The following is a 24,817-nucleotide window of genomic DNA, read 5'->3' as shown; positions in this document are numbered from 1 at the left end:
TCTATAGTATTAGATTGATACTGACATTTCCTATTTTAAAAAACAACCCACACTCCGAGCAGCAAACAACTGTCATTCACTGAGATCACTCGCCATGAACTAGACACAGTAATAAGTGCTTTACATCAACCTCATATGTGCTCCACTGCCACAGTGAGCTCAGACAATGTCATATAACCAGAAAATAAGAGTTCATAATATGCCTTTATTTTGTAATTTATAAACAACTTCTGACTTGCCCTTTGAAAGTTAATTATAATTGATGACTGCTTTTCTTAGATGCTTCTGAAGCCCAAGAGAGGGGCAGAACGTAGTTCTTGATTTAAAAAAACAGAAAGGGGAGGAGGATGACCTTAACTACAAATAATATTCCACTGCAACATTATTGCTGTAAAACTTCCAAGCTGGCTGTTCTTCCAGATGCTCTCTTTTGATGGCTGTAGTGGCTGACAGATTTATATTTACATGTTCAAAACAATTAATGCTTCCATTTATTCATAGATTCTCTGAGGTTCCCGTAGAACCACACCACCTTCTGTCATGGCACTTTGTAGTCGTTTCATCTGGTTTTGAAAATCAGAAAAAAAAGGAAAAGATTAAGTCAGCAGCACGAGTAGGCTGAAAATACTTTCACCTTCCAAAAGACAGAAATAAATTGATTTGTTCTTGCTAACTTCCCAGCCTACAACGGTTTTTCAGAAAGTGATCTTAATAATGATGTAAGTAAAAAGGAAATGTAGAGATGTCAAGGTTCAGCAGCATTTCAAAATATTATATGGACAAGATGTCAATATATGAACAGGAAATACAGTGGCTGACATCATGGACTACAGAATCAGTCACCCTGGGTTTGAAATCCACCATACACTGACTCTGGGCAAGTAAGCCTCAGTTTATTTCTGTATAGAATGAGAGTACTAGTCCCTACCCTATGGACTGATGTGAGGATTAAATGAAGTAACACTGTTGAGTACTCACCAAAGGGTCTGACACATGGAAAGTATTTGGTAAGTAAAAACTGTTATTATTATGTAAGTTATCTAATGCCAAGAATTAACACAATACCTTTTCAATAAGTACATGAAAACAAAAATACCGAGTCTGAGGCTGCCTCCCACGGGGTTGGTTGGTAGACCATGAAGTTGATTCCCGCCTCTAAGCATCTCTGTGCCAGCACTCGTCCTATACTCTCACAAGCCACCACATTTCTGGTACTATAAAGGTGCTTTTTAATAGCCCACTCACGAGTGGAGGCCGAAACCACAACCTTGCCATTCTGATGCTCCACAAGTGCTTCTACATGATGCTGAGTCCTTATAACTCGCAACCTAAATGGGGTGAGAAGATAATAAAATCACAGAAGAATCTGTATCCTAAAGTTACATTAATTGAGGTGAATAAATGACTAAATATTTTTCAACAATCCAGTGTTTGGTTCATTTACTTCAACATATTTAACTTGGATTTTGCTTGGGAAAAGTATTTTTCCTCCGCCTTTATGAGAATATCCTCAATAATAACAAACTAAATAGTTCAAGTATCATGAAGAAATTTGTTTCTGAAGAGCTGAGTTTTATTTACAGATCTACTTCAAAAAGAGATTTGAAGAGACAGAGCTAAGTTACTGAACATATGCATGACATGGATATACTTACTCTTTGCTTTTATTTATAGCTAGCACCAAAATAAATATAAGACGGAACAAAAATTTAAATGCAAAAACTGAAATCATAACAGTACTAGAAGAAAACATGAGAAATTTTTTTATAATCTCAAGGTATGCATATTTAAATATGACATCAAACCATGTCATATGGCTTTTATTATTTTTCAGAAACAGGGTCTCACTGTCACCCAGCTCGGAGTACAGCAGTGCAACCACAGCTCACTGTAGCCTCAAACCCCTAGGCTCAAGCAACCCTCCTGCCTTAGTCTCCCAAGTAGTTGGCATTACAGGTGCATGCCACTGCACCAAGATAATTTTTATTTTGTAGAGACAGGGTCTCCCTATGTTGCCAAGGCTGGTGTCAAACTCCTGGCCTCAAGCGACCCACCCTTCTCAACCTCCCAAAGCACTGGGATTACAGGCATGAGCCACTGTGTCCAGCTTCATATGGCCATTTTTTTTTTTTTTTGAGACAGGGTCTGCCTCTGTCTCTCAGGCTAGAGTACAGAGGCACGAACTTGGCTCACAGCAGCCTCTGCCTCCTGGGATCAAGTCATCCTTCCACCTCAACCTCCCAAGTGGCTGGGACTACAGGCGCATGCCACTGCACCCAGCTAATTTTTGTATTTTTTTGTAGAGACAGGGTTTGCCATATTGCCCAGGCTCGTCTCAAACTCCTAAGCTCAAGCAGTCTACCCACCTCAGCCTCCTAATGTGCTGGGGTTACAGGCTGAGCCACCATGCCCAGCCCCTCATATGGCATAAAAAAGAAATGATGGACAAAATTTGCTGCATGGTTAAAAAAAAAAAAAAAAAAAAAGTAAAATGAAGTCAAAAGAAAAGCAATGAAACAAAAAATATTTTAGGCTGGGCATGTGACTCAAGCTTGTAATCCCAGCACTTTGGAAGGCTGAGGCAGGAGGACTGCTAGAGCCAAGGAGTTCAAGACCAGCCCAGGCAACACAGTGACACTCTGTCTCTACAAAAAATAGAAAAAATCAGCCAGGCGTGATGGTGTGCACCTGTAGTCCCAGCTACTTGGGAGGCTGAGGTGGGAAGATTGTTTGAGCCCAGGAGGTTGTGGCTGCAGTGAGCCGTGATAATGCCCTGCACTCCAGCCTGGGTGACAGAGTGAAACCCTGTCACAAAAATATAAAAAGAAAAAATATTTTAAACTCATATATTGTTCAAAGAGCTAATTTACACAATATGTTAAAAGCCTCCTATAATTAACAAGAAAATGATCAATAACTTGTGGGGAAAAGCAAGAGATCAGATTGTTACTGTCTGTGTAGAAAGAAGTAGACATAGGAGACTCCATTTTGTTCTGTACTAAGAAAAATTCTTCTGCCTTGAGATTCTGTTAATCTATGACCTTACCCCCAACCCCCTGCTCTCTGAAATACGTGCTGTGTCAAACTCAGGGTTAAATGGATTAAGGGTTGTGCAAGATGTGCTTTGTTAAACAGATGCTTGAAGGCAGCATGCTCGTTAAGAGTCATCACCACTCCCTAATCTCAAGTACCCAGGGACACAAACACTGCGGAAGGCCGCAGGGACCTCTGCCTAGGAAAGCCAGGTATTGTCCAAGGTTTCTCCCCATGTGATAGACTGAAATATGGCCTCGTGGGAAGGGAAAGACCTGACCGTCCCCCAGCCTGACACCCGTAAAGGGTCTGTGCTGAGGAGGATTAGTATAAGAGGAAGGCATGCCTCTTGCACTTGAGACAAGAGGAAAGCATCTGTCTCCTGCCTGTCCCTGGGCAATGCACTGTCTCGGTATAAAACCCGATTGTACGTTCCATCTACTGAGTTAGGGAAAAACCGCCTTAGGGCTGGAGGTGGGACATGCGGGCAGCAATACTGCTTTGTAAAGCATTGAGATGTTTATGTGTATGCATATCTAAAAGCACAGCACTTGATTCTTTACTTTGTCTATGATGCAAAGACCTTTGTTCACATGTTTGTCTGCTAATCCTCTCCCCACTATTGTCTTGTGACCCTGACACATCCCCCTCTCAGAGAAACACCCACGAATGATCAATAAATACTAAGGGAACTCAGAGGCTGGCGGGATCCTCCATATGCTGAACGCTGGTTCCCTGGGTCCCCTTATTTCTTTCTCTATACTTTGTGTCTTTTTCTTTTCCAAGTCTCTCGTTCCACCTAACAAGAAACACCCACAGGTGAGGAGGGGCAACCCACCCCTTCATAACTTAATAGGCAAAGCATTATCCAAACAGACTGTTCACAGAAAAGAAAAATATTAATGACTCAAATTCACAAAAATATGCTCAATCTCACTAACAAAATGCATGGACAAGACAATTCGATGCAACACTGTAATCATAAAAGATAATCACCCTCTAGGAGCGAGTTAAGTAAAATCCATGCAATAGTATTCCATACAGTTACTGAAATGAATGAAATAATGCTTTATAATGATGAAGATAATAGTTAACATTTACTGAGCACTTAGTATATGCCAGGCCTGTCTTAACGGTTTATAGATAAAGCTTATGTCTCAATTCTATTATTTTTTCTATATTTTTTTTTAGCTGCAGAAACTAACACAGAAAGGTTAAGTAACTTGAAAAAGATTAAAACTAGTAAGTAATGGAGCCATGGTTTAAGTCCCAGTGTCTGGCTCCAGAGTCAATGCTCTTAACTACCATGAAGAATCTCCAAGATGTATTTTTAAGTGCGTGCTTGGGGTGGTTGAGGGTGGTGGTGAAGAAAGATGCGGAAGTGTTTATCGTATGCTAAGATTTATTGTTTTTAACAGTTTTTGCTTATATGCATAGACAATCTTTAGAAGGACACACAAGAAACTGTACTCCCTTTGGATTTTATAACATACGTATATGTTACCCTTTAAAAAGTCAAGTTTAAGTTAAAGAAAACACACCCAAATCATTAGATTCTCACTAGGATTCTCAATGTGAAATAGAAGAGGCATTAGATTTGGAAATATGGAGTCTACTCCTGGTTTTCCTGGTGGCTCTAGTAAAAAATCACAATCTCTTTTTTTTTTTTTGAGACGGAGTCTCAGTCTGTTGCCCAGGCTGGAGTGCAGTGGCGCGATCTCGGCTCACTGCAAGCTCCGCCTCCCAGGTTCACGCCACTCTCCTGTCTCAGCCTCCCTAGTAGCTGGGACTACAGGTGCCTGCCACCACGCCTGGCTAATTTTTTTGTGTATTTTTAGTAGAGACGGGGTTTCACCGTGTTAGCCAGGATGGTCTTGATCTCCTGACCTCGTGATCCGCCCGCCTCGACCTCCCAAAGTGCTGGGATTACAAACGTGAGCCACCGCGCCCGGCCAAAAATCACAATCTGTTAAACCAGGAGTCAACAATCTTTTTCCACAAAGTGCCAGATAGTAAATATTTTAGGCTTTCTAGGTCCAATAGCTTCTGTTGAAACTGTTCGACTCAGCCATTGTAGTGCTAGAACAGCCAGGTGATGCGTAAACAAATGAGAGTAGGTACAGCTAGGTTCTAAGAACCTGGGCAACGAAATTTGATTTTCATTTAATTTTCCCAAGCCACAAAATATTCTTTTGATTTTTTTTTTAACTTAAAAAAAGTAAAAACAAGTTTTTAGCTCACAATCTACCTTTGGCCCACGGGCCGTAGTTTGCTGACACTTGAACCATTTGTTCAATGAAGGGCCCGATTCATTATGTCAAAGGTCATTTCCTACTATAATATTCTGAAATTCTCTACTTTTAATATTGCGAGTAAGGCAGACAGAGAAAAAATGAGGAAATACATCTTTAGTTATTTTTAATGATCCAAATATTAAATCAAAGTAATGCGTTGGGGCCGAGTGCAGTGGCTCACGTCTGTAATCCCAGCACCTTGGGAGGCTGAATCAGGCAGATCTCTCGAGCTCAAGAGCTCGAGACCAGCCTGGGCAGCAGCAAAACCCCATCTCTACAAAAAATACCAGAAAAAAAAAAAAAGAAAAAGAAAAAAATTAGCCGGCCATGGTAGTGTGTGCCTGCAGTCCCAGATGCTCAGGAAGCTGAGATGGGAGAATCGTTTGAGCCTGGGAGGCAGAGGTTGCAGCCAGCTGATACTGTACCACTGCACTCCAGCCTGGGTGATAGAGCCAGAGCTTGTCTCAAACAAAACAAAACAAATTAGCTGGGAGTAATGGCATGCGCCTCTAGTCCCAGCCACTCAGGAGGCTGAGGTGGGAAGATTGCTGGAGCCCAGGGAAGTCAAGGATGCAGTAAGCAGATATCATACCACTGCATTCTAGCCTGGGCAACAGACCCAGACCCTGTCTCAAAAACAAAGAAAAAAGAAAGTAATAGGTTGGGTGTTTCAAAAGATTTTTAGCCTTAAGATCCAGATTATTTAAAAAGTGAACTGCCTACTCCCTTTCTTGGACTCCCTCCTCTATGAGTAAAAATGTATTACAGCAACTGTAACACATCATTATCCCCATTCCACTTTCCACTATGAAACTTAAGACTTTTGATGACAGGGATAACATCTACTTTATCTTTGTAACTCCTGCCTCTAACGCAATGCCTAGCAAGTGATACAGGTATGATGCTTGTTCAATAAATAAATAATACATCACACAGTAATGATTTCCAATTTACTCTTACAACTTTACATAGTACTTAAGAAGTCCTTAAGAAATTCTAAAAAATCCTCACCAAGCAGATAAGCAGCAGATAAACCTGATAAACACTTACATGCTGTAGTATAGTGGTAATAACCTAGCGTCCTGGCTCTGAGGTCAGTTAAAACATATGTAAATCTTAGCTCTGGCACTTACTAATCATGTCTCCCTAAACCTCAATTTCTTTGATCCTGTAAAATGGGGGAAATTATAACTGCTTCATGATGTAATTTTAAGGATTAAATGAGAAAAAACATATAAAGCAAGTAGCATAATTCCTGGCAAATGTAAGTGTTCATTAAACAACCACCTTTATAACAAAGTATCTCAAGTCATACTAGACTCCTAACTGGTCTTTCTTCAAGTCCTGCTCCCTCAAAAATTTAATCTTCCAAAAAGCAGCTAAAATGATTTTTTTTTTTTTGAGACAGAATTTTGCTCTGTCGCCCAGGCGCTCAGCTCACTGCAACCTCCGCCTCCTGGGTTCAAGTGATTCTCGTGCCTCAGCCACTGGAGTAGCTGGGATTACAGGCGTGCACCACCACGCCCCTCTAATTTTTATATTTTTAGTAGAGACGGGGTTTCACCATGTTGGCCAGGTTGGTCTCAAACTCCTGACCTCAGATGATCCGGCTTCTTCGGCTGGCTCCCTAAAGTGCTGGGATTACAGGCATGAGACAATGCGCCCAGCCAGAATGATCTTGAAAAACCAATTCGGGCTCAAGCTTTAAATCCTCTCGTAGTTTCCCACTATAATGAAAAGAAAGTCTAAAGTGCTCATCTTGACTTACAAAGCTAATCATCTGTCGCCTCCTTACCCCTCCATGTTCATCTTGGGCCATTCATCCTCTGCCCATTGAGCTTCAGATCCACAAGCCCTTCAGTTCCTCACCCCAGCAGTTTCCTTTGCTAGGACTGCTCTTTCTGGCAGATGACTAGGCTTCTTCCTCTTTCAGATCTCACCTTCTTAAATGTCACCTCAGACAGGCAGGTATCCTGTCCGCTACTGTAACATCCTCTTTAAATAGCCCCCATCACACCTATTTGTTGTTTGTTCCAGCCCCTCCGCGAACCCTGCCTCTACCCGCCGCATGGCAGCTACCTGGGAGAGTGCCTGGAGTTGAATGAATGAAAATAGTCTGTAGGGTGCACTGCCCTTGTCAATCACAAGCAGATTTAATTACCTGTGCCAGAACTCACGGGAGGGAAACACCGTCCGCCAGCCCCGCTCTTTCCTGGCTACAGATAAAAGCTCCAGGTTCCGGGGGTTCCGGTTGGTGAATTCTGGGGCGACAGCTTCATTTTCCACAGGGTCCACTTCAGGTTTCGCTGCCGGCTCGGAGCTGGTTGACAGGGCTGCGAACCTGCACCCTGGGCAACGGGAAAAACCGCACAGGGCTTAAAAATGACGGATATGGACAGCGCACGAACCCGCTCTAACGTCTATCCGCTTTTACACCCCCAATCTTTAGGCCCGAGGGGACGAAAAATACGTATGCCCACAGGGTGGAGTCAGCACTGACCCCGTCCTTAACTTCCTACTGTGGTCTTCGCAGTGCCGCGAGCTCTATTTCGATCCGGCACGTCGAATACAAAATAGAACCCGCACGTTCCAATGTACTGTGCAAGCCCAGGCGAGTGAGCTGGGAGAAGGGGGGCAAGACTAATTACCAGGGTTCCTGCAAACCGAGAACAACCCCCAAAACCGCGACCGAAGCGCCATCGCTGAGACGATCTCGGAAAAGCCTCGCCTCTTTTTCCTCACGGACGACTCAGTCGCTCGCCAGGAGCAGCCATATAAAGTCAGGGACAAGCCTTTGGCTGCTGTAGATCCCCAAACTCTCCACGCCAGACGCCACCGACCCGGAAGTAGCAAGTCCCCTGCCACTGAGTGGCCGAGAAGGCGATCTGTTATCCTTCATCGCCAATCATCGCTCACGTCGAGGGGCACGCAGGCCCTGGAGCCCACCAACCACCTCGTAGCTACGCCCAAGACCACGCTTGTTGCTTAAGTCCGGGGTCAAAGGCACACACCCCACAAAACCATGTTTGGGTTTTCTACTCGGAGAGCTTGGGCGGTCATCGACTGGTCCACACACACCCCACCTGGGCACCGCGTAGGAATAAGGCAGGGCAAGATGCAGTTTTCTCCTTAAAAAGGGTGGTTGTCTTCCTCGAACCAAAAATTTTCCCGTATGGCCCGCTGGAAAAACTGCCCCGTCCCACCCAGGTTCGCGCCCTTAAACTTACACTCCTGAGGCCTGGAGCAAAGCCGGCCGATCTGCCTCACGCTCCCCGAGCAGGGACAAGGAAAAGACACTAAACCTAAAACGCACGACTCGCTCAGAACCCCAACTCTAACTTGGAGAAGGGCCCGCCCCTCCAGTTACACCCCAGCTCCAAGCTCCACCCTTCTTACAACCTTTTCTAGAAGGCACTAGAATGGCCCACTGCGTCTGCGCAACATCGTTTGAGGCGAAGGTTCAACCTCTTCCCAGCGGTCCAACATCCGACTTCCGTTCTCCGCTTTCGCGCCCTTCCCATCGGCTATCTAATTGGACAAAAATGCCGACCCCGCCCCTTCCCCGGAGCCTCACTTCCGTCACAGTCCTGTTTCTCTCCCTGTTGTCCCTGCCTCTTTTTCCTTCCCGCCGTGCCCCGCGGCCGGGCCGGGGCAGCCGGGAAGCGGGTGGGGTGGTGTGTTACCCAGTAGCTCCTGGGACATCGCTCGGGTACGCTCCACGCCGTCGCAGCCACTGCTGTGGTCGCCGGTCGGCCGAGGGGCCGCGATACTGGTTGCCCGCGGTGTAAGCAGAATTCGACGTGTATCGCTGCCGTCAAGATGGAGGGGCCTTTGTCCGTGTTCGGTGACCGCAGCACTGGGGAAACGATCCGCTCCCAAAACGGTAAGGGCGGGCCGGGCCTGGGTCGGGTTTGCGGCCGGGGAGGGCCGAGTCCCACCGCGACCGGACCCCGGCTGCCCTCGTTTCTCTCCTTTACCTCCGCAGAAAGGGCCTCGGGGCCCCGCAGCCGGACCCAGCCCACCCGCCGTTCTCTGGGGCAGGGCGCTGTGGCCCCACTTTTCCCACAGCGAGGAGGAGCCCCGCCGCGCGCGGCAGGGTTTTGAGACCGGCAACGCGTGGATGTGGTGTCCGGGGCGGCGTTGGAAACGCGCCCTCCGCGGGAAAGCGGGCCTCCCGGGCTCGCACGTGCGGGCCACGCCTCGCACCCCCTTTTGTTTCAGGGCGACCCCCTGAGTGTCCATGTTAAACGCCAGGTTTTATTTTAGGACCATTTACCAGAAAAAGAGTAGGTCCATCCGCGCGCCCTCGGATGAGCCCGGTGCCCTGTCCGCCCGCAGCTGCAGTCGAGGTCGGGCGTCCGGCGTCCAGCCGTATCCGGGTTGACAGCTTCTTACAGTAGAGTTAGCCCAGGAAACGCCACTCGAGTGCATTGACCCCAGGAGACGGCAGCGCTAACTTAGCAGAGCGTTTGCTGTCAGGCCTTTGGATACCTACAGAGCTTACTGTTTCTTGATAGATTCCTAATTTTTTTCGTAAACAAATCTGAAAGTCACCACCTTCCCCGTTGACTACCGATTTCTCTCCTCACAGATAAAGAGAGTTTTAATGAGCAAAAAACTTGCAGAATCTGAAGGAAAAGGCTGGTATAGCTGTACGAAGTGGCAGAGCATGAAATTGGTGGTTATTACTTTTTTTTTTTTTCCCCGCCATCAGATTCCACCCCGCATCAAAGCTGTGCCAAATAGGCTCGCTTTGTTTAGGGACAGGGTCCCACCTGTCGCCCAGACGAGAGTGCCATCATAGCTCACTGCATTCTCCAAGCACAGGTCCGCGCCGCCGCATCCGGCTTTGTTTTTATTTTTTGTAGAAATGGGTTTCGCTATGTTGCCCAAAGGGGTCTCAAACTCCTGGCATCAAGCGATCCTCCTGCCTCGGCCTCGCAGTGTTGGGATTACACCTGTGAGCCACAGTGTCTGGCCCCATTTACACTCTTAGTAGGTGGTTTTTAAATAATTAACACAGATTTGTAGATTTGGGAAATACGGGGGCTGTTGGATGTCATTTACCTTTAGGCTGAAATTACTGTCTTTCAGAGTTGTGGCTTATCCTCATTTCTTTTTTATTTTTAATTGATTGTCTACAGTTATGGCTGCAGCTTCGATTGCCAATATTGTAAAAAGTTCTCTTGGTCCAGTTGGCTTGGATAAAATGTTGGTGGATGATATTGGTGTAAGTACACATAACTGTTGTGTTAGTTTCCTTAAAGTAAAACTATCTTCAGTGTTTTGCTATGTTCTTTCTTTGACTTTATCAGAATCCACGTACTGGAAGGTGATATTAAAGGTGAACGTGTATTATAATGGGGCTGTGTTGATTTCTATAAGTGGTTCATATTTTTTCCTGCGAATTTCTTAGGATGTAACCATTACTAACGATGGTGCAACCATCCTGAAGTTACTGGAGGTAGAACATCCTGCAGCTAAAGTTCTTTGTGAGCTGGCTGATCTGCAAGACAAAGAAGTTGGAGATGGAACTACTTCAGTGGTAGGTAGACTGGCTAAAGAATGATCATTTTTCTAAAAACGACCGACTTTCAGAAAGTTGAAGCCATAAGTGGGTCATTTGTGCTGTGTCAGAAATAAGTTACATATTCTGAATGCCCAGAAGATTGAGCAAGAAGAAAAAACAAAAGAAGTTACACATTTAAGAGGGGAAATAAGCTTCTTAGGTACAGATTCAGAAACAAAATTTGTAAGTTGATAGTTACAGCTAGTTTGTACAGTTTAAGTAGGAAAGAATTTGAGTTCATTTGACATAGCCCCATTGTTTTAAATGTTGGTATTCACAAGTTTTGAGGGCTTATTTTTCCTTTTATGGCAGTATTCAGACATCACACAGATTTTTTTATGGTCTCTCAAAAGTCTTGTTTCCTCCCCCATCACCCCTTGAGACTTGGAAAGCTCTCAACTTTTCTGATTATTTGGAGGATAAAATGTTACCAATCTGGGGGAGAAACAATGTTTTTATATTATTATTTTTAAGAGACCATCTGTAGCACAGTCTGAAGTGCTGCAGTGCTGTCATATCTCACTGCAGCCTGGAACTCCTGGGTTCAAGCAATCCTCCTGCCTTAGCCTCCCAGAGTGCTTGGGATTGCAGGCATGTGCCACCACAAGCAACTAATTAAAAACCTCTTTTTTTTTTTTTTAAGAGACAGGGTCTCGCTATGTTGCCCAGGCTGGTCTTGAACTCCTGGCCTCAAGTGATCCTCCCTTCTCGGCCTCTGTAGTGCTGGGATTACACGCATGAGCTGCACTCAGCCTGTTCTATTTTTTAAATCCTGACAGGTAATCTCAGGAATTCAAAATGGGAGTGTGAGAAATTAATAAATACATCATGATATGACAGTGTGATCTTACCGAGTCAGTAAATGTGATACACAGTATAAACTCTTCATAGATCATCCAGCATGCTGGTATAGTAGAAACACTATTGTTTGGTGAGAAAGATGTTAATTCTGGAGAAACTAGATAGTTTGTGGGGAAAATGTATTTCTAGATTAAACTTTAGCCATGAAAGAATGGAATCTACTCCTAAAATATGAATATGATCTTTGTCTAACTTACGATAATGTGATTTAACAAATGTAGTTTTCCTTCCATAAGAAGCTGACAGTCTTTTTGCTTTAAAAATATTTCTTAGTGTTTTATCAACTTGAAGAACTATCTTTTTTAAATAAAATAATAGCTTAATATAGGTCATATGAATAGTCACACTCGGTTTAGCTTCTGTTGAGCATTTTTTCTAAAGGTAATAGATGTGTTGTCTTTTACGGTTGTATTGATGAACTAGTTTCTTATTGCTGAACTAGTTTCTTAGAACATTTTTCTGGCTCCTACCCAGTTTTGGCCATTTGCATTTATAATACAATAAGACCTCACTGAACATCCACAGTGGCTTCATGGAAACTGACTTTAAGAGGAAAGATGATGTATAAAAAAACAAGTTTTCCTCCCCCCATCAGCGTTACAATAAACAACTGTATTTGAGAAATTGCTGTCCATTGTTTTGCTTAAAGTGGCAGTTTCCAAGAATTTATGAGTAACGTGGAGGACTTGGAGTGTTTTGTAGCGTTCTTCTCCCTTCACGCCCAGGTTTCTAATAACCAGTTAATTCATTTCATCACTACCATTTTGGTTAATAATATATGGCCATTTTAGTGTCATTCCATATGTATTGCACATGTTGAATATCCGGCACACTCAGACCAGTGAATGTTTTCTCAACAGGTTATTATTGCAGCAGAACTCCTAAAAAATGCAGATGAATTAGTCAAACAGAAAATTCATCCCACATCAGTTATTAGTGGCTATCGACTTGCTTGCAAGTAAGATTGTTTGCATTCAGAGAAATTTTTTTTGATGTAATAGTTGTAAACTGTGTTGTCTTAACGTTTTGATTAATAACTAAATTTTAATTTGAAAACCTTCAATTTAAATGTTTTAGCATTTAAGTAGTAATATTTGAAGTTAAAAACTTGGACCAGTATCTTTTTTCTCATTTGACTACCACATTTTCTCCTAATAATAGATTTTAGTGGCTATGCTTATGGGATAGATTAAACTTGCCATGATCTGAAGAGGGAGGGTTTTTTCATGTCCTCCTCCTATATGAAATGGCTGAACGGATATTATTACTTACGACATTTTGGCTCTGTGTTAAGCATGATGAATGCAAAGAGTTTGAGTAGTGACTTTATAAGCGTTTTTCTCCCCCACACTTTTAAACAGGGAAGCAGTGCGTTATATCAATGAAAACCTAATTGTTAACACAGATGAACTGGGAAGAGATTGCCTGATTAATGCTGCTAAGACATCCATGTCTTCCAAAATCATTGGAATGTATCCTTGTGGTTGTCAGATAAAATTTAGACTTTTTAAAGCATAAGACTTTGAGATGGGCATGGTGGTATGTGCCTGTAGTCCCAGCTACTAAGGAGGCTGAGGTAGGAGTATTAATTGAACCCAGGAGTGCCAGTCCAATGTGGGCAACATAGCAAGACCCTGTCTCGGGAGTGGGTGCGTGTGTGCGCATGTGTTGCGCGCACGCGTGCGTAGTAGCAGCAGTATCAATTTTGTGCAATAAAATTTTGAATAACCAATTTTATGCAAATTGATATCAATAGAGAGGAGTAATGCTGTATTGAAATTACCTGTTGCCTTCCCTGCTTTTTTAGGGTGAAAAGGTAATAAAAAGCATGTCTAAAAGTGATATGAATTGCAGATAGTGATAATGTTGTAACATTTTGGTGACAAGTAATGCTTGCTGCTTTAATAGATTAGATTACTAAAAGGAAGTCCCTTGAAATTACCCTTGATTTTTCACGTGTGTACCCTTTGTCCATTCCAAACCTGTTACTGTCCTTAACTTTTGGCGTAGAAATGGTGATTTCTTTGCTAACATGGTAGTAGATGCTGTACTTGCTATTAAATACACAGACATAAGAGGCCAGCCACGCTATCCAGTCAACTCTGTTAATATTTTGAAAGCCCATGGGAGAAGTCAAATGGAGAGTATGCTCATCAGTGGCTATGCACTCAACTGTGTGGTGGGATCCCAGGGTAAGGTTTGGGATTTGGTTTATAGAATGAGATTGCTACAGATTAAAACTAGCTTTTCTTTTGGCTGGGCGCGGTGGCTCATGCCTGTAATCCCAGCACTTTGGGAGGCTGAGTCAGGTGGATCACGAGGGCAGGAGTTTGAGAGCAGCCTGTCCAATATGGTGAAACCTCATCTCTACTAAAAAATACAAAAATTAGCTGGGCATGGTGGCACCTGCCTGTAGTCCCAGCTACTTGGGAGGCTGAGGAAGGAGAATCACTGGAACCTGGGAGGCGGAGATTGCAGTGAGCCAAGATCACACCACTGCACTCCAGCCTGGGCTACAGAGTGAGACTCCGTCTCAAAAAAAAAAAAAAATAAAAAATGTTTTTTTGTGGATTATGTGCAGTACATCTTTTTGTAATTTAAAGCACATACAACATGGTAGAAGGAATGTGAATTAAAAGAAATTACGTGCATTTAATGCCATAAAATTTTTCTAAGATAAAATGCAATGAATTAGTCTAAATTTGTGTGTTTACATACAATCGATTATAGGTACTCTTTATTATGCTTTTAAGGATAGACGTATTAACTTAATCTTATGTTCAATTGTAGGCATGCCCAAGAGAATCGTAAATGCAAAAATTGCTTGCCTTGACTTCAGCCTGCAAAAAACAAAAATGAAGCTTGGTGTACAGGTGGTCATTACAGACCCTGAAAAACTGGACCAAATTAGACAGAGGTATGTTGAGAGATTATTTTTGGCCTTTTAAGTGTGAGTGTCTTGGAGGACTTTAACATTTTTAGCCAAGTCAAACTATTTTACTTCCAGAAAAATTAGCCTGGTGGTGTTTTTAGAGGGATTTGGGGTTATACAACCTATATGAAAATCGGCCTTTTTGTGGAATTTTGATTGTATGAGTCTATTAATATTAAAGATGTAAAAGACAGGAATCTAATTTCCTCAAAGCAGTACAGAACTCAGCAGTATAGTATTGACTGTAACCTACTGTTTGCTAGATACTGGAGGTGCAGGTGATATTAGTGGTTGGCATGCCAGAAGAGCTAATGGTGGAGGTAGTGTGACCATTGCTATAGATTTGACTGCCTGACAGTCACTTAAAACAATAAATTGTTTAGGCTGGGCACAGTGGCTCATGCCTGTAATCGCAACACTTTGAGAGGCTGAGGTGGCAAGAATCTGAAGCCCAGGAGGTTGAGGCTGCAGTGAGCTGTGATTGTACCACTGCACTCCAACCTGGGTGACAGCGAGACCCTGTCTCAAAAAAAAAAAAAAAAAAAATAGTTTAAACAGTAGTTAGACCTACAAGAAAGCTTTGCCAAGAGTAAGAAATGTGCTGTCATCTTTTAAATCAGTCTGCACGGGTGTTCTTTTTTCCTTCCTTCCTCATACAACAAAGTGTCCTTTCTTCCATCAAAGCCAGTCCCTCTACAGTAAGTGTTCTAGAGTCTGTTTCCTTCTGCTCTAGAGCCTTTTCTTTGATTCTTGTTTCATACTTGCATCTTCAACTAATTATGCTCTTTCCTGGATTCTTCCTGTGGCTCTTTTGTCCTTCAAGCTTCTTCATACATCCTTGTGCTATAGGTACTCCCTATCGTACATCTTTACAGGCAGATGTCATGAGTGGTTTACTACACAAAACTTCTCTGGTGCTTTTCTTCTCATCCCTTTTCAGCCCTGTTCTCCATTTGAGGGACTGCATGTTAAGGTCTCTAGCGTGAAATTCGGAAGACATTTTCAGCCTTCCTCTTACTTGACCTTTAGCAACCCTTTGATTATGTCCTTCTTGAAATGCTTTCGGGGATGGAAGGCTTTGTGATGCTGCTTTGTCTGGACCATGTCATAATACTCTCCAGGATAGCCCCTTTGTTCCCATGACTTCATGTATTATCTCTCTATGCCAGAGACTCTTTCAGCTGTTTCTCTAAGCTCCAAACACACATACCTCTATCTAGTAGAATGCTTTTCAAGCATCTCAAAGTGAACATGTCTAAAACTGAACTTGTGATAATACCGCAAATCTGCTTTTGACCATTTTAGTGATGGGGAGTCCTTCACACAGGCAGAAAACTAGGAAATGTCCTTAACTCCTCCTTTTTACCAACACTTTTTCTCCTAATCTGTCACCAAGACCGCTTGATTTCTACCTCCAAATTAAATTTACCTACTTTTCATTTTCTTGCCTAGACTGTTGTAGAAACACACCCAAGCTAGTCTCTTAGAGAAGCTTTTCTTTCTTCTTCAATCTAAATTATATTCTGTTGTAACTTCCTGTATTTTTTCTTCCTGGGGCTTATTACAGTTTTTACCATGAGTTTATATAACAGTGTGTAGCACACAGTACTTGTTTAGTAGACAAGCTGCTTTTGAGGTTGATCTGTAATTCATTTTACTTTAAAAATTCTTCGAATGATCTATTCACATGGCTTCACTCATATTGACTCTTCAAATCTGGATCTCCCATAGTTTATGGTTTCCATGATGTAAGTGACTGCCTCCTGGGAGCTTCACCTGAGTAACAGCAGAGACTTCAAACTTAATCTTGTCCTCAACTAAACTCTCATTTCCCATCCTGCCCCCAAAACTCTTGTTATTTATTTTACTCCAGGAGTCACCCAAGCCATAAAATTTGACTTTTCTGTTTAGGTTGTCTTTCAGCTTATATCTCATGTTATTATCTTCTTGTCTTCAGCCATTCAGTGCAGTTTCCACATTGATAATCAGGGAATCCTTTTGAAAACACAGATGATATACTAGTCTTGCTTAGAGATATTAAGCTTAGTATCTAGATTGTTTGGTGTAACCTGCAAGGTTTTTCACTTTTCTGGTTCTGCCTTCTTTTGTGCTTTCAACTCTGGACTCCTGTTTTTGTTTGTTTGTTTGTTTTTGAGACGGAGTTTTGCTCTTGTTGCCCAGGCTGGAGTGCAGTGGCACGGTCTCGGCTCACTGCGACCTCCGCCTTCCGGGTTTAAGTGATACTCCTGCCTCAGTCTCCTGAGTATCTGGGATTACAGGCGCCCACCACCAGGCCCAACTAATTTTTTGTATTTTTAGTAGAGGCGGTTTCACCGTGTTGGCCAGGTTGGTCTCGAACTCCTGACCTCAGGTGATCTGCCCGCCTCAGCCTCCCAAAGTGCTGGGATTACAGGCGTGAGCCACTGCACTTGGCCTGGACTCATCTTCATTGTCCACCTCCTAGGCTAAATTTATGTCTTTTATGTGCTTGTAATCTCTGCATACCACTTTAGTGACACTTGCCCTGGAGTGTGATTGGTAATCCCTCTCCCCACTAGATCCTTGAAGGCAGGACCTGTGTTCCCTGTTTAACCATAGTTCTCAATTAGTAATTCAAATTTGGGTTGGGGAGAGCTAAGTGGTAATTTTTAATTCCTTCAAATTTTCCATGAATTGGACTAATTTAAATTCTGGTCAGAGATAACAAAGGATAATACAATTTGATCTATGATTATCTTGTGATAAATACTTAATGGAAGTTAAATTATTTTTAAAAATCACAGAAGGTAACTCAGGTTACAAAAATACTTTGCAGAGAATCAGATATCACCAAGGAGAGAATTCAGAAGATCCTGGCAACTGGTGCCAATGTTATTCTAACCACTGGTGGAATTGATGATATGTGTCTGAAGTATTTTGTGGAGGCTGGTGCTATGGCAGTTAGAAGAGTTTTAAAAAGGGACCTTAAACGCATTGCCAAAGCTTCTGGAGGTATGTCTTGTGCTGGCTGTCACATAAAATACTTTTATTATCCCTGATCCTATCAAAGGTCTTTTTACATTGGAATATTGACAGAAAACAGCTCAAAAACATTTATATTCTCTTAATGCTTTGTGCTACCAACACATTTATAGAGCCATTTTTCATGTAACTGGAGAAATTTTGTTGGAAATTTGTGAACTGAATTTGTTCATTTCTAAAATGACAGTTCCATCTTAGGATAAAAGGAGTTACCGTGTGCTGCCTAACTAAATTCTAAACTTGTAATATAGCACTTTTACCACAAATGCTACTGAGTCCAAGGATATTAAAATCATGAAAGAGCAATATTCACAGATCCTTTGTAACTCTCTTATTAGCAACTATTCTGTCAACCCTGGCCAATTTGGAAGGTGAAGAAACTTTTGAAGCTGCAATGTTGGGACAGGCAGAAGAAGTGGTACAGGAGAGAATTTGTGATGATGAGCTGATCTTAATCAAAAAGTAAGAGCCACTTTCTAAAATTGTAAAGTTATACCGATTTTGTTAAGTAAAAGTAGGTTTTCTTCCCATTTATTTGCTGCTTGTAGTCTCACAGTGATACGAGCAGTTATACGCATGGGATAAAATAACATTGGGCCACTGTAAATTGAGATGAAGTAACCATTTTCATCTCTTCTGCAGGGACTAGACATTGTTTCTGTATAGTATATCTAAATATCCTGTGTAGGCAGGACTTAAGGGAACTTTATGTAGACTTATTTTATTAAAATGCCATTTTTTTTGAGAAATTGATGGTCTTGGCAAAAAAAAATTTTTAAAAATGCTATTACAAGAATTGTACTTTTGTTTTGAACAGTACTAAGGCTCGTACGTCTGCATCGATTATCTTACGTGGGGCAAATGATTTCATGTGTGATGAGATGGAGCGCTCTTTACATGATGCACTTTGTGTAGTGAAGAGAGTTTTGGAGTCAAAATCTGTGGTTCCCGGTGGGGGTGCTGTAGAAGCAGCCCTTTCCATATACCTTGAAAACTATGCAACCAGCATGGTAAGAACAGTCATTTCTTGTCTTAGAGGCCTGAGAGCAGTAGCTGTGGACTTCAATTTTTTTTTTCCCTTTTGTGAAGTCACCTAATTTTCTTCTTTTCCTAGGGGTCTCGGGAACAGCTTGCGATTGCAGAGTTTGCAAGATCACTTCTTGTTATTCCCAATACACTAGCAGTTAATGCTGCCCAGGACTCCACAGATCTGGTTGCAAAATTAAGAGCTTTTCATAATGAGGCCCAGGTTAACCCAGAACGTAAAAATCTAAAATGGTAAGCATGGTTTCCCGCTCTTTGTTAACCTCTGCAGAACAGGTTGCATTAAAAAGGATAGTAGTCAATTACATGTCAGCAAACATAAGTAACAGACTTGTCAAATACTTAACATGAAAAACTTCACAGCAAGCATTTGTTGTTCAGTCACTGTAATTCAAGGGATAATGACTAATTATTAGCACTGGTGTGTCTTCGTTAACTGTGATTGCTAATCTCTCCCTGCTTCTTTTGGTAGAAAGACTACCTACAAGATCTCTAGTCTGATTTAAAAATCAACCTTAATACTTGAATGAAATGCTGGAGTTAATAGGCCACCTAATGAAATTGTAAGCGGCCGTTAAATAATTCTTTCTTAATTGCAGGATTGGTCTTGATTTGAGCAATGGTAAACCTCGAGACAACAAACAAGCAGGGGTGTTTGAACCAACCATAGTTAAAGTTAAGAGTTTGAAATTTGCAACAGAAGCTGCAATCACCATTCTTCGAATTGATGATCTTATTAAATTACATCCAGAAAGTAAAGATGATAAACATGGAAGTTATGAAGATGCTGTTCACTCTGGAGCCCTTAATGATTGATCTGATGTTCCTTTTATTTATAACAATGTTAAATGCAATTGTCTTGTACCTTGAGTTGAGTATTACACATTAAAGTAAAGTACAAGCTGTAAACTTGGGTTTTTGTGATGTAGGAAATGGTTTCCATCTGTACTTTGGTCCTCTGATTTCACATATTGCAACCTAGTACTTTATTAGTTTAAAAAGAAATTGAGGTTGTTCAAAGTTTAAGCAATTCATTCTCTCTGAACACACATTGCTATTCCCATCCCACCCCCAATGCACAGGGCTGCAACACCACGACTTCTGCCCATTCTCTCCAGTGTGTGTAACAGGGTCACAAGAATTCGACAGCCAGATGCTCCAAGAGGGTGGCCCAAGGCTATAGCCCCTCCTTCAATATTGACCTAACGGGGGAGAAAAGATTTAGATTGTTTATTCTTCTGTGGACACAGTTTAAAATCTTAAACTTGTCTTTTTCCTCTTAATGTATCAGCATGCTACCCTTTCAAACTCAAATTTTCATTTTAACTGCTTAGGAATAAATTTACACCTTTGTGAAAATTCATCCCTGCCTATCTTACCTCGTTCCTTTTATGCCAAGTAAGCCAATGTCTTTTTTTTTTTTTTTTTTTTTTTTTAAACCTTGGGAAGTAATGAACTCAGTCCTAGTAACTAGTATTTCTTTAACTATTACCCACATGGCCAACACCTAGAAGATACTATCTTAAAATTGGATTGTGAAATTCACTGGTAAGCTCTCAGGGTTACTTGTGCATCTTTACCTTCTCTGGGTTTAATCCAAGTTCTTTAACTATTGCAGCAGAGACAGCTGCAAAGGCTTCATTGATTTCAAATATGTCAACATCTTCCAGTGACCAACCTGCTTTTGTAACCTAGAGGAAAGATTCATAGAAAAGAGGTCTAAACTTGGGTGGAAAGGCTAAAGTTAAACCATTCTTTGTCAACATAAATATATGCTGCATGATACTGGTAACTGCTACTTTGGTTTGTTCTTAGGTTAATACAGTGACATTCTCACACATTTTTGCCTTAGTGACATCCATTCCATCCAAAAGGTTAAGGGTGTGATCTAAAAGATCCCTTAGAAATTCTAAATTGTCTTAAAATTTTGAACCAGTAGCATCTGTTATGTGTACCTAAGGCTAATGTAACAGAATCAGTTCCCCTAGAAAGCATGTGATCCAAATGCTCTCAGTGGCTGGGGGTAGTGGCTCACACCTGAAATCTCAACACTTGGGGAGCCTAAGGCAAGAGGATCAATTGAACTCAGGAGTTCAAAACCAGCCTGGGCGACATAGACCTTGTCTCTACGAAATGAAGAAGGCGTGGTGCACCTGTAGTTCGAGGTAATGGGAGGCTAAGGCAGGAGGAATATTTGAGCCTAGGAGTTTTGAGGCTGCAGTGAGCTATGATGGTGCCACTGCACTCCAGCCTGGACAACAGAGCAAGACCTTATCTCAAAAATAGAAATAAATGCTCTTGGTTACTCTTCTGGTAGGGAAAGACTAGAGCTAACTACATGAATAAGCTCACTTAAGGCTAACAGGAAGACAAATTTCATAAAAGGGAATAGGGTTATACTCACAGCTTGCTTTATGGCTGGAATTGGTCCTATTCCCATAATGGAAGGCTCCACACCCACTTGGGACCAGGAAACTATCCGTGCTAAAGGTGTAAGCCCACGTTTATCAGCTTCTGACTTCTTCATAAGAACGACAGCTGCAGCACCATCATTTATTCCTGTAAAATATGAGTGACTTAATTTCTACCATGCTTATTAACCTCAGTTACATATCTGTGGCTTCTTTACCACCTGAAGACATGAGTTAAATGATTTTACCTGTTGGCTAAGGCATTTACTATAATTCAACAGACTTTACATAGAAATTATGTTTGGCAATATATTGACCACAAAACTTTCCAACTAGAGAAAGTGGTAGGATTACAGTAGTCGGGGCTGGGCGTGGTGGCTCACGCCTGTAATCCCAGCACTTTGGGAGGTGGAGGAGGGTGAATCACCTGAGGTCAGGAGTTTGAGACCAGCCTGACCAATAGGGTGAAAGCCATCTCTACTTAAAATAGAAAAATCAGCCGGTGTGGTGGTGTGCGCCTGTAGTCCCAGCCACTCAGGAGGCTGAGACAGGAGAATTGCTTGAACCTGGGAGGCGGAGATTGCAGTGAGCCAAGATTGCACCACTGCACTCCAGCCTGGGCGACAGAGTGAGGCTCCGTCTCAAAAAGAAAAAAAAAGGATTACAGCAGTTGGGGAGGGGAGATCTCTGACAGGAAATGGAAGAATAAGCCTGGGCTTCACAAGGAGGTATTGGGAGTTTCTGGTACTGGAAAAATACAAAGGTAGATAAACTGAAGTTCCCTAATTTACTTCTTCATTTGTATGTCTAGTTGGGATGTCAAGAAACCAAATTAATTCTTTCAGTATAGGTTAAGTCAATGATCAAATACAGAGAAATGACATGTTTCCTTAAACTGTTTTAAGAATAATTTTGTACATAAATATTGAGTTGGGTGTGGTGGCTCATGCCTGTAGTCCCCCAGCTACTTGGGAGGTTAAGGCAGGGGGCTCACTTGAGCCCAGGAGTTTGAGGCTGCAAGTGAGCAATGATCATATTGCTGCACACGAACCTGGCTGGCAGAGTGAGTCCCTGTCCCAAAAAATAGTACTTTTGTATATAAATAAAGAGAAAAATATTCACTCGGTAGACATTATAGAACATAGTATTCCCCCAGATGTCCTTCAGAAAATCTAACCTGAAGCATTGGCTGGGGTGACTGTTCCCGTTCCATCAGTAAGAAAGTAAGGCTTTAGCTTGGACATGGCTTCTATGTTGCTCCCATGGCGAGGAAACTCATCTGTTTTAACTTCAATAAGACCTAAGCAAAGGAAAACCAATTACTCAAGATTAGTCCAGAGACAGAAGTAAGTGTGCTGGGAATGGTGGGTTCTCTGCCATTAAACATGAGGATTCATATTTAGCAGAAAAGTTTTAATATGTGACCACTTTGATGACAACAGGAGGAAAGTACACACAAGAATTATTGTACATGAAAACAATTTATGAGTATGTCCTTATGAGACACCTGTGTTTTCCAAATCCATAGGCCTTCCTGAGGAAAGTAGCTACCAGGGACCTGTTTGTGCCAAATTCTGCTATAGTTTGGGTCATAGTACTTGGCTGGTTACGAGTGAGTGGATCAGGCAGTCTCAAAGCCAATCGTGCACTGCTGGCAGGACATAAGAGATATCAGTTATCAATAAGGGAGCTTGACGGGAGCATTCTGTATTAGAAAATAGCGAGTGACCCCAAAAGATCCACCCTTTAGAAATGTGAAATGGAGATCACACAGAAACAGCGAGAAGTAATGGGTGTCCACTTCTGAGGAGGTTGAGCCTATACAGGAAACAGGTCAGCTGGTGCCTCCTAACAACCATGAGCCAGTGCTCCAGCTTCTCATGAAACCTGCTGTGTGTGCACAGTGGTCATGGACGCTCTGGAACCAAGAGTGCTTGAGTGCTGACATAGGTCCCATGTTACCGTGTCCTGTAAACCCAGCATACCCCCTCCCCACATTCATGTATCCAGGACATATATTTGCAACCTGAAAAACATAACTAAGATATAATTTCTAAAGATTCCTATGTATTACTCTTTTAGATGTTACTCTTACCTATAAATAGGTTGATGTTTAAACCACTATGATATACTCACCTTTTCTAGTTGACACCAAAACTGGTACAATCTCTTTGTCAAAATGGCCAGCTTTCTGTGCATTCTCTGTCCTGTTCTGGGACAGAACTGCAACCTTGTCCTGATCTTCTCTACTCACTTGCCATTTTTTGGCTACATTTTCAGCTGGGAAAGGAGAAAAACAGCAAAAAACTAACATTTTCATGAACTGGCATTTGATAGCTCAAGTCGTCCACATTTGACCAAGCACTGACTGACCACATATGCTAGCAGGCTCATGGTGGCCTGTGCAATGCTCTGTGTGGGGTGGCCCTGCCTGCCACTGGCAGTTGGTTTGGAAATGTTGCAGTGACTCTCAGGAGTCATACTTCTCTCCTTCCCTTTCTATATAATTGTAAACTTACAGAAATTTCCTTCACCCAGAGTCACCATTTATATTTTCCCTCCATTTGCTTTAATATTTTCTTTCTGAACCATCTGAGAGAAAGTTGGAGATACAATGCCTTCTTACTCTTAAATTTTAATTTCAGTGTATACTTCCCCAAAACAAGGCCACTTTCTTACATAAGCACAGTTATAAAACTCAAGAAATTGGGCCAAGTGTGGCGGCTCACACCTGTAATCCCAGCATTTTGGGAGGCCGAGGTGGGAGGATCACTTGAGCCCAGGAGTTTGAGACCAGCCTGGGCACAGCGAGACCCTGTCTCCATTAAAAATAAATTTAGCCGGGCATGGTGTGTGTGCCATGTAGCTAGTAGTCCTAGCTGCTTGGGAGGCTGAGGCAGAAGGATCACTTGAGCCTAGGAGTTCAAGGCTGCAGTGAGCCATGATTGTGCCTCTGCACTCCAGCCTGGGTGACCCTGTCTCACAAAACAAAACAAAAATCAGGAAATTTAACATGAATCAAACACTATTATCTAATCCTTGGTCCACATTCAAATTTCACCTATATTTCAGTAATGTCCTTCTAGCTCCTTTATTTGAGCCAATAAAGAAGCATGCATTGTACAACTATCAATCTCTCTAGTTTGCTTTTGTCTGTAACAGTTCTTCAGACTATGCTTCTTAAGCTTGATATTTTTGAAGAACATGGGCGAGTTCTTTTGTTAAGGGTCATCAATTTTGATTTGTCTGATGTTTCCTCAGAATTAGATTAAGATTCTGCCAAAAGGCAGGTATACCACTGAATGATAGTATGATTTTTCTCAGTGAGTCTTATTAGGACACAAATGACAATCAGTTTATCCCAGGTGATGTTATCTTTGATCACTTGGTTAAAATGGTTTGGTATTCACCAGGTTTCTAGCTTTTAAAGGTACCATTTTTTCATTTATAAGTAATCAATAATTTATCAGAGGTTCTTTTTGGATTATCCAAATATCTTCTTCCCCATCATATTTTCACCCACTAGTTTTAGCATTCATTCATGACTTTCTAACTCCAACATTCCTTCTATTGGTAAGATATTAATTGGCATTTTACCACAAAGAAAACCTTTTCCTTTTCTCCCATTTATTCAGTTATTTATATCAGGATG

The 24,817-nt window shown here is 42.0% G+C and overlaps 3 protein-coding genes and 2 non-coding genes across 15 annotated transcripts in view, besides 5 other annotated features; 3 read left to right on the top strand and 2 right to left on the bottom strand.

The window, feature by feature from the left end:
• Nucleotides 1-185: 185 nt before the first annotated feature.
• On the bottom strand, nucleotides 186-8,803 carry MRPL18 (mitochondrial ribosomal protein L18). Of its 9 annotated transcripts, NR_134860.1 has the most exons (5): nucleotides 8,555-8,748; nucleotides 7,828-7,947; nucleotides 7,489-7,675; nucleotides 1,097-1,328; nucleotides 186-563 (listed from the first exon to the last, which is right to left on the bottom strand). NR_134860.1 is itself a non-coding variant. In NM_014161.5 (4 exons), the coding sequence occupies exons 1-4, from the start codon at nucleotides 8,025-8,027 to the stop codon at nucleotides 492-494; spliced, it is 543 nt and encodes a 180-aa protein (NP_054880.2). In that variant the 5' UTR covers nucleotides 8,028-8,148; the 3' UTR covers nucleotides 186-491. The 9 variants fall into 9 exon arrangements, 2 of the variants coding, with proteins under 2 accessions (NP_054880.2, NP_001305746.1); NR_134864.1 differs by lacking the exon at nucleotides 7,828-7,947 and having other exon boundaries at nucleotides 8,727-8,803; NR_134862.1 differs by lacking the exon at nucleotides 7,828-7,947.
• Nucleotides 2,777-3,648: an enhancer, noted in NCBI's record as "NANOG-H3K27ac-H3K4me1 hESC enhancer chr6:160215999-160216870 (GRCh37/hg19 assembly coordinates)". NCBI's record gives its function as "activates a minimal SCP1, AML or CMV promoter by ChIP-STARR-seq in naive H9 embryonic stem cells {active_cell/tissue: H9 hESC(naive)}" and the evidence as "EXISTENCE:reporter gene assay evidence [ECO:0000049][PMID:30033119]".
• Nucleotides 7,961-8,020: an enhancer, noted in NCBI's record as "active region_25393". NCBI's record gives its function as "activates an Ori minimal core promoter by ATAC-STARR-seq in GM12878 lymphoblastoid cells {active_cell/tissue: GM12878}" and the evidence as "EXISTENCE:reporter gene assay evidence [ECO:0000049][PMID:35858748]".
• Nucleotides 8,051-8,230: an enhancer, noted in NCBI's record as "active region_25392". NCBI's record gives its function as "activates an Ori minimal core promoter by ATAC-STARR-seq in GM12878 lymphoblastoid cells {active_cell/tissue: GM12878}" and the evidence as "EXISTENCE:reporter gene assay evidence [ECO:0000049][PMID:35858748]".
• Nucleotides 8,487-9,150: an enhancer, noted in NCBI's record as "H3K27ac hESC enhancer chr6:160210497-160211160 (GRCh37/hg19 assembly coordinates)". NCBI's record gives its function as "activates a minimal SCP1, AML or CMV promoter by ChIP-STARR-seq in naive and primed H9 embryonic stem cells {active_cell/tissue: H9 hESC(naive and primed)}" and the evidence as "EXISTENCE:reporter gene assay evidence [ECO:0000049][PMID:30033119]".
• TCP1 (t-complex 1) lies at nucleotides 9,013-20,117 on the top strand. Of its 2 annotated transcripts, NM_030752.3 has the most exons (12): nucleotides 9,013-9,210; nucleotides 10,472-10,557; nucleotides 10,744-10,872; nucleotides 12,618-12,715; nucleotides 13,119-13,229; nucleotides 13,768-13,949; nucleotides 14,548-14,674; nucleotides 17,505-17,680; nucleotides 18,049-18,172; nucleotides 18,528-18,720; nucleotides 18,825-18,988; nucleotides 19,354-20,117. In NM_030752.3, exons 1-12 carry the CDS (start codon nucleotides 9,147-9,149, stop codon nucleotides 19,568-19,570), a joined length of 1,671 nt encoding a protein of 556 aa, NP_110379.2. In that variant the 5' UTR covers nucleotides 9,013-9,146; the 3' UTR covers nucleotides 19,571-20,117. The 2 variants fall into 2 exon arrangements, with proteins under 2 accessions (NP_110379.2, NP_001008897.1); NM_001008897.2 differs by lacking the exon at nucleotides 10,472-10,557.
• Nucleotides 9,151-9,815: an enhancer, noted in NCBI's record as "H3K27ac hESC enhancer chr6:160209832-160210496 (GRCh37/hg19 assembly coordinates)". NCBI's record gives its function as "activates a minimal SCP1, AML or CMV promoter by ChIP-STARR-seq in naive and primed H9 embryonic stem cells {active_cell/tissue: H9 hESC(naive and primed)}" and the evidence as "EXISTENCE:reporter gene assay evidence [ECO:0000049][PMID:30033119]".
• On the top strand, nucleotides 12,882-13,021 carry SNORA29 (small nucleolar RNA, H/ACA box 29). Its single transcript, NR_002965.1, has one exon. It is a non-coding gene; the product is annotated as a small nucleolar RNA, H/ACA box 29 (small nucleolar RNA).
• Nucleotides 18,234-18,365, top strand: SNORA20 (small nucleolar RNA, H/ACA box 20). The gene has a single exon (NR_002960.1). It is a non-coding gene; the product is annotated as a small nucleolar RNA, H/ACA box 20 (small nucleolar RNA).
• ACAT2 (acetyl-CoA acetyltransferase 2) overlaps nucleotides 19,503-24,817 on the bottom strand; it is a 17,068-nt gene continuing 11,753 nt past the window's right edge. For both annotated transcript variants that reach the window (NM_005891.3, NM_001303253.1), the window contains exons 5-9: nucleotides 23,302-23,445; nucleotides 22,343-22,465; nucleotides 21,159-21,313; nucleotides 20,335-20,445; nucleotides 19,503-19,956 (exon numbers count right to left, since the gene is read on the bottom strand). In NM_005891.3, the coding sequence (NP_005882.2) occupies nucleotides 19,786-19,956; nucleotides 20,335-20,445; nucleotides 21,159-21,313; nucleotides 22,343-22,465; nucleotides 23,302-23,445 (704 nt within the window). In that variant the 3' untranslated portion in view covers nucleotides 19,503-19,785. The remainder of the gene's footprint in view (nucleotides 19,957-20,334; nucleotides 20,446-21,158; nucleotides 21,314-22,342; nucleotides 22,466-23,301; nucleotides 23,446-24,817) is intronic.

The sequence above is a fragment of the Homo sapiens genome, chromosome 6 (genome assembly GCF_000001405.40).
Source record: "Homo sapiens chromosome 6, GRCh38.p14 Primary Assembly".
In the NCBI taxonomy this organism is placed as follows: Eukaryota; Metazoa; Chordata; class Mammalia; order Primates; family Hominidae; genus Homo; species Homo sapiens.
This window is presented reverse-complemented; position numbering and strand designations above follow the sequence as displayed.

Coding starts and splice junctions, on each gene's coding strand:
- MRPL18 (NM_014161.5), bottom strand. CDS start 8,027: ATGGCGCTTCGGTCGCGGTTTTGGGGGTTGTTCTCGGTTTGCAGGAAC. Junction 7,676..7,975: donor CTCGGTTTGCAGGAACCCTG/GTAATTAGTCTT, acceptor CCCGTTGCCCAG/GGTGCAGGTTCGCAGCCCTG. Junction 564..1,096: donor GGGAGGCAGCCTCAGACTCG/GTATTTTTGTTT, acceptor TTTCAAAACCAG/ATGAAACGACTACAAAGTGC.
- TCP1 (NM_030752.3), top strand. CDS start 9,147: ATGGAGGGGCCTTTGTCCGTGTTCGGTGACCGCAGCACTGGGGAAACG. Junction 10,873..12,617: donor GAGATGGAACTACTTCAGTG/GTAGGTAGACTG, acceptor TTTTCTCAACAG/GTTATTATTGCAGCAGAACT. Junction 13,950..14,547: donor CTGTGTGGTGGGATCCCAGG/GTAAGGTTTGGG, acceptor GTTCAATTGTAG/GCATGCCCAAGAGAATCGTA.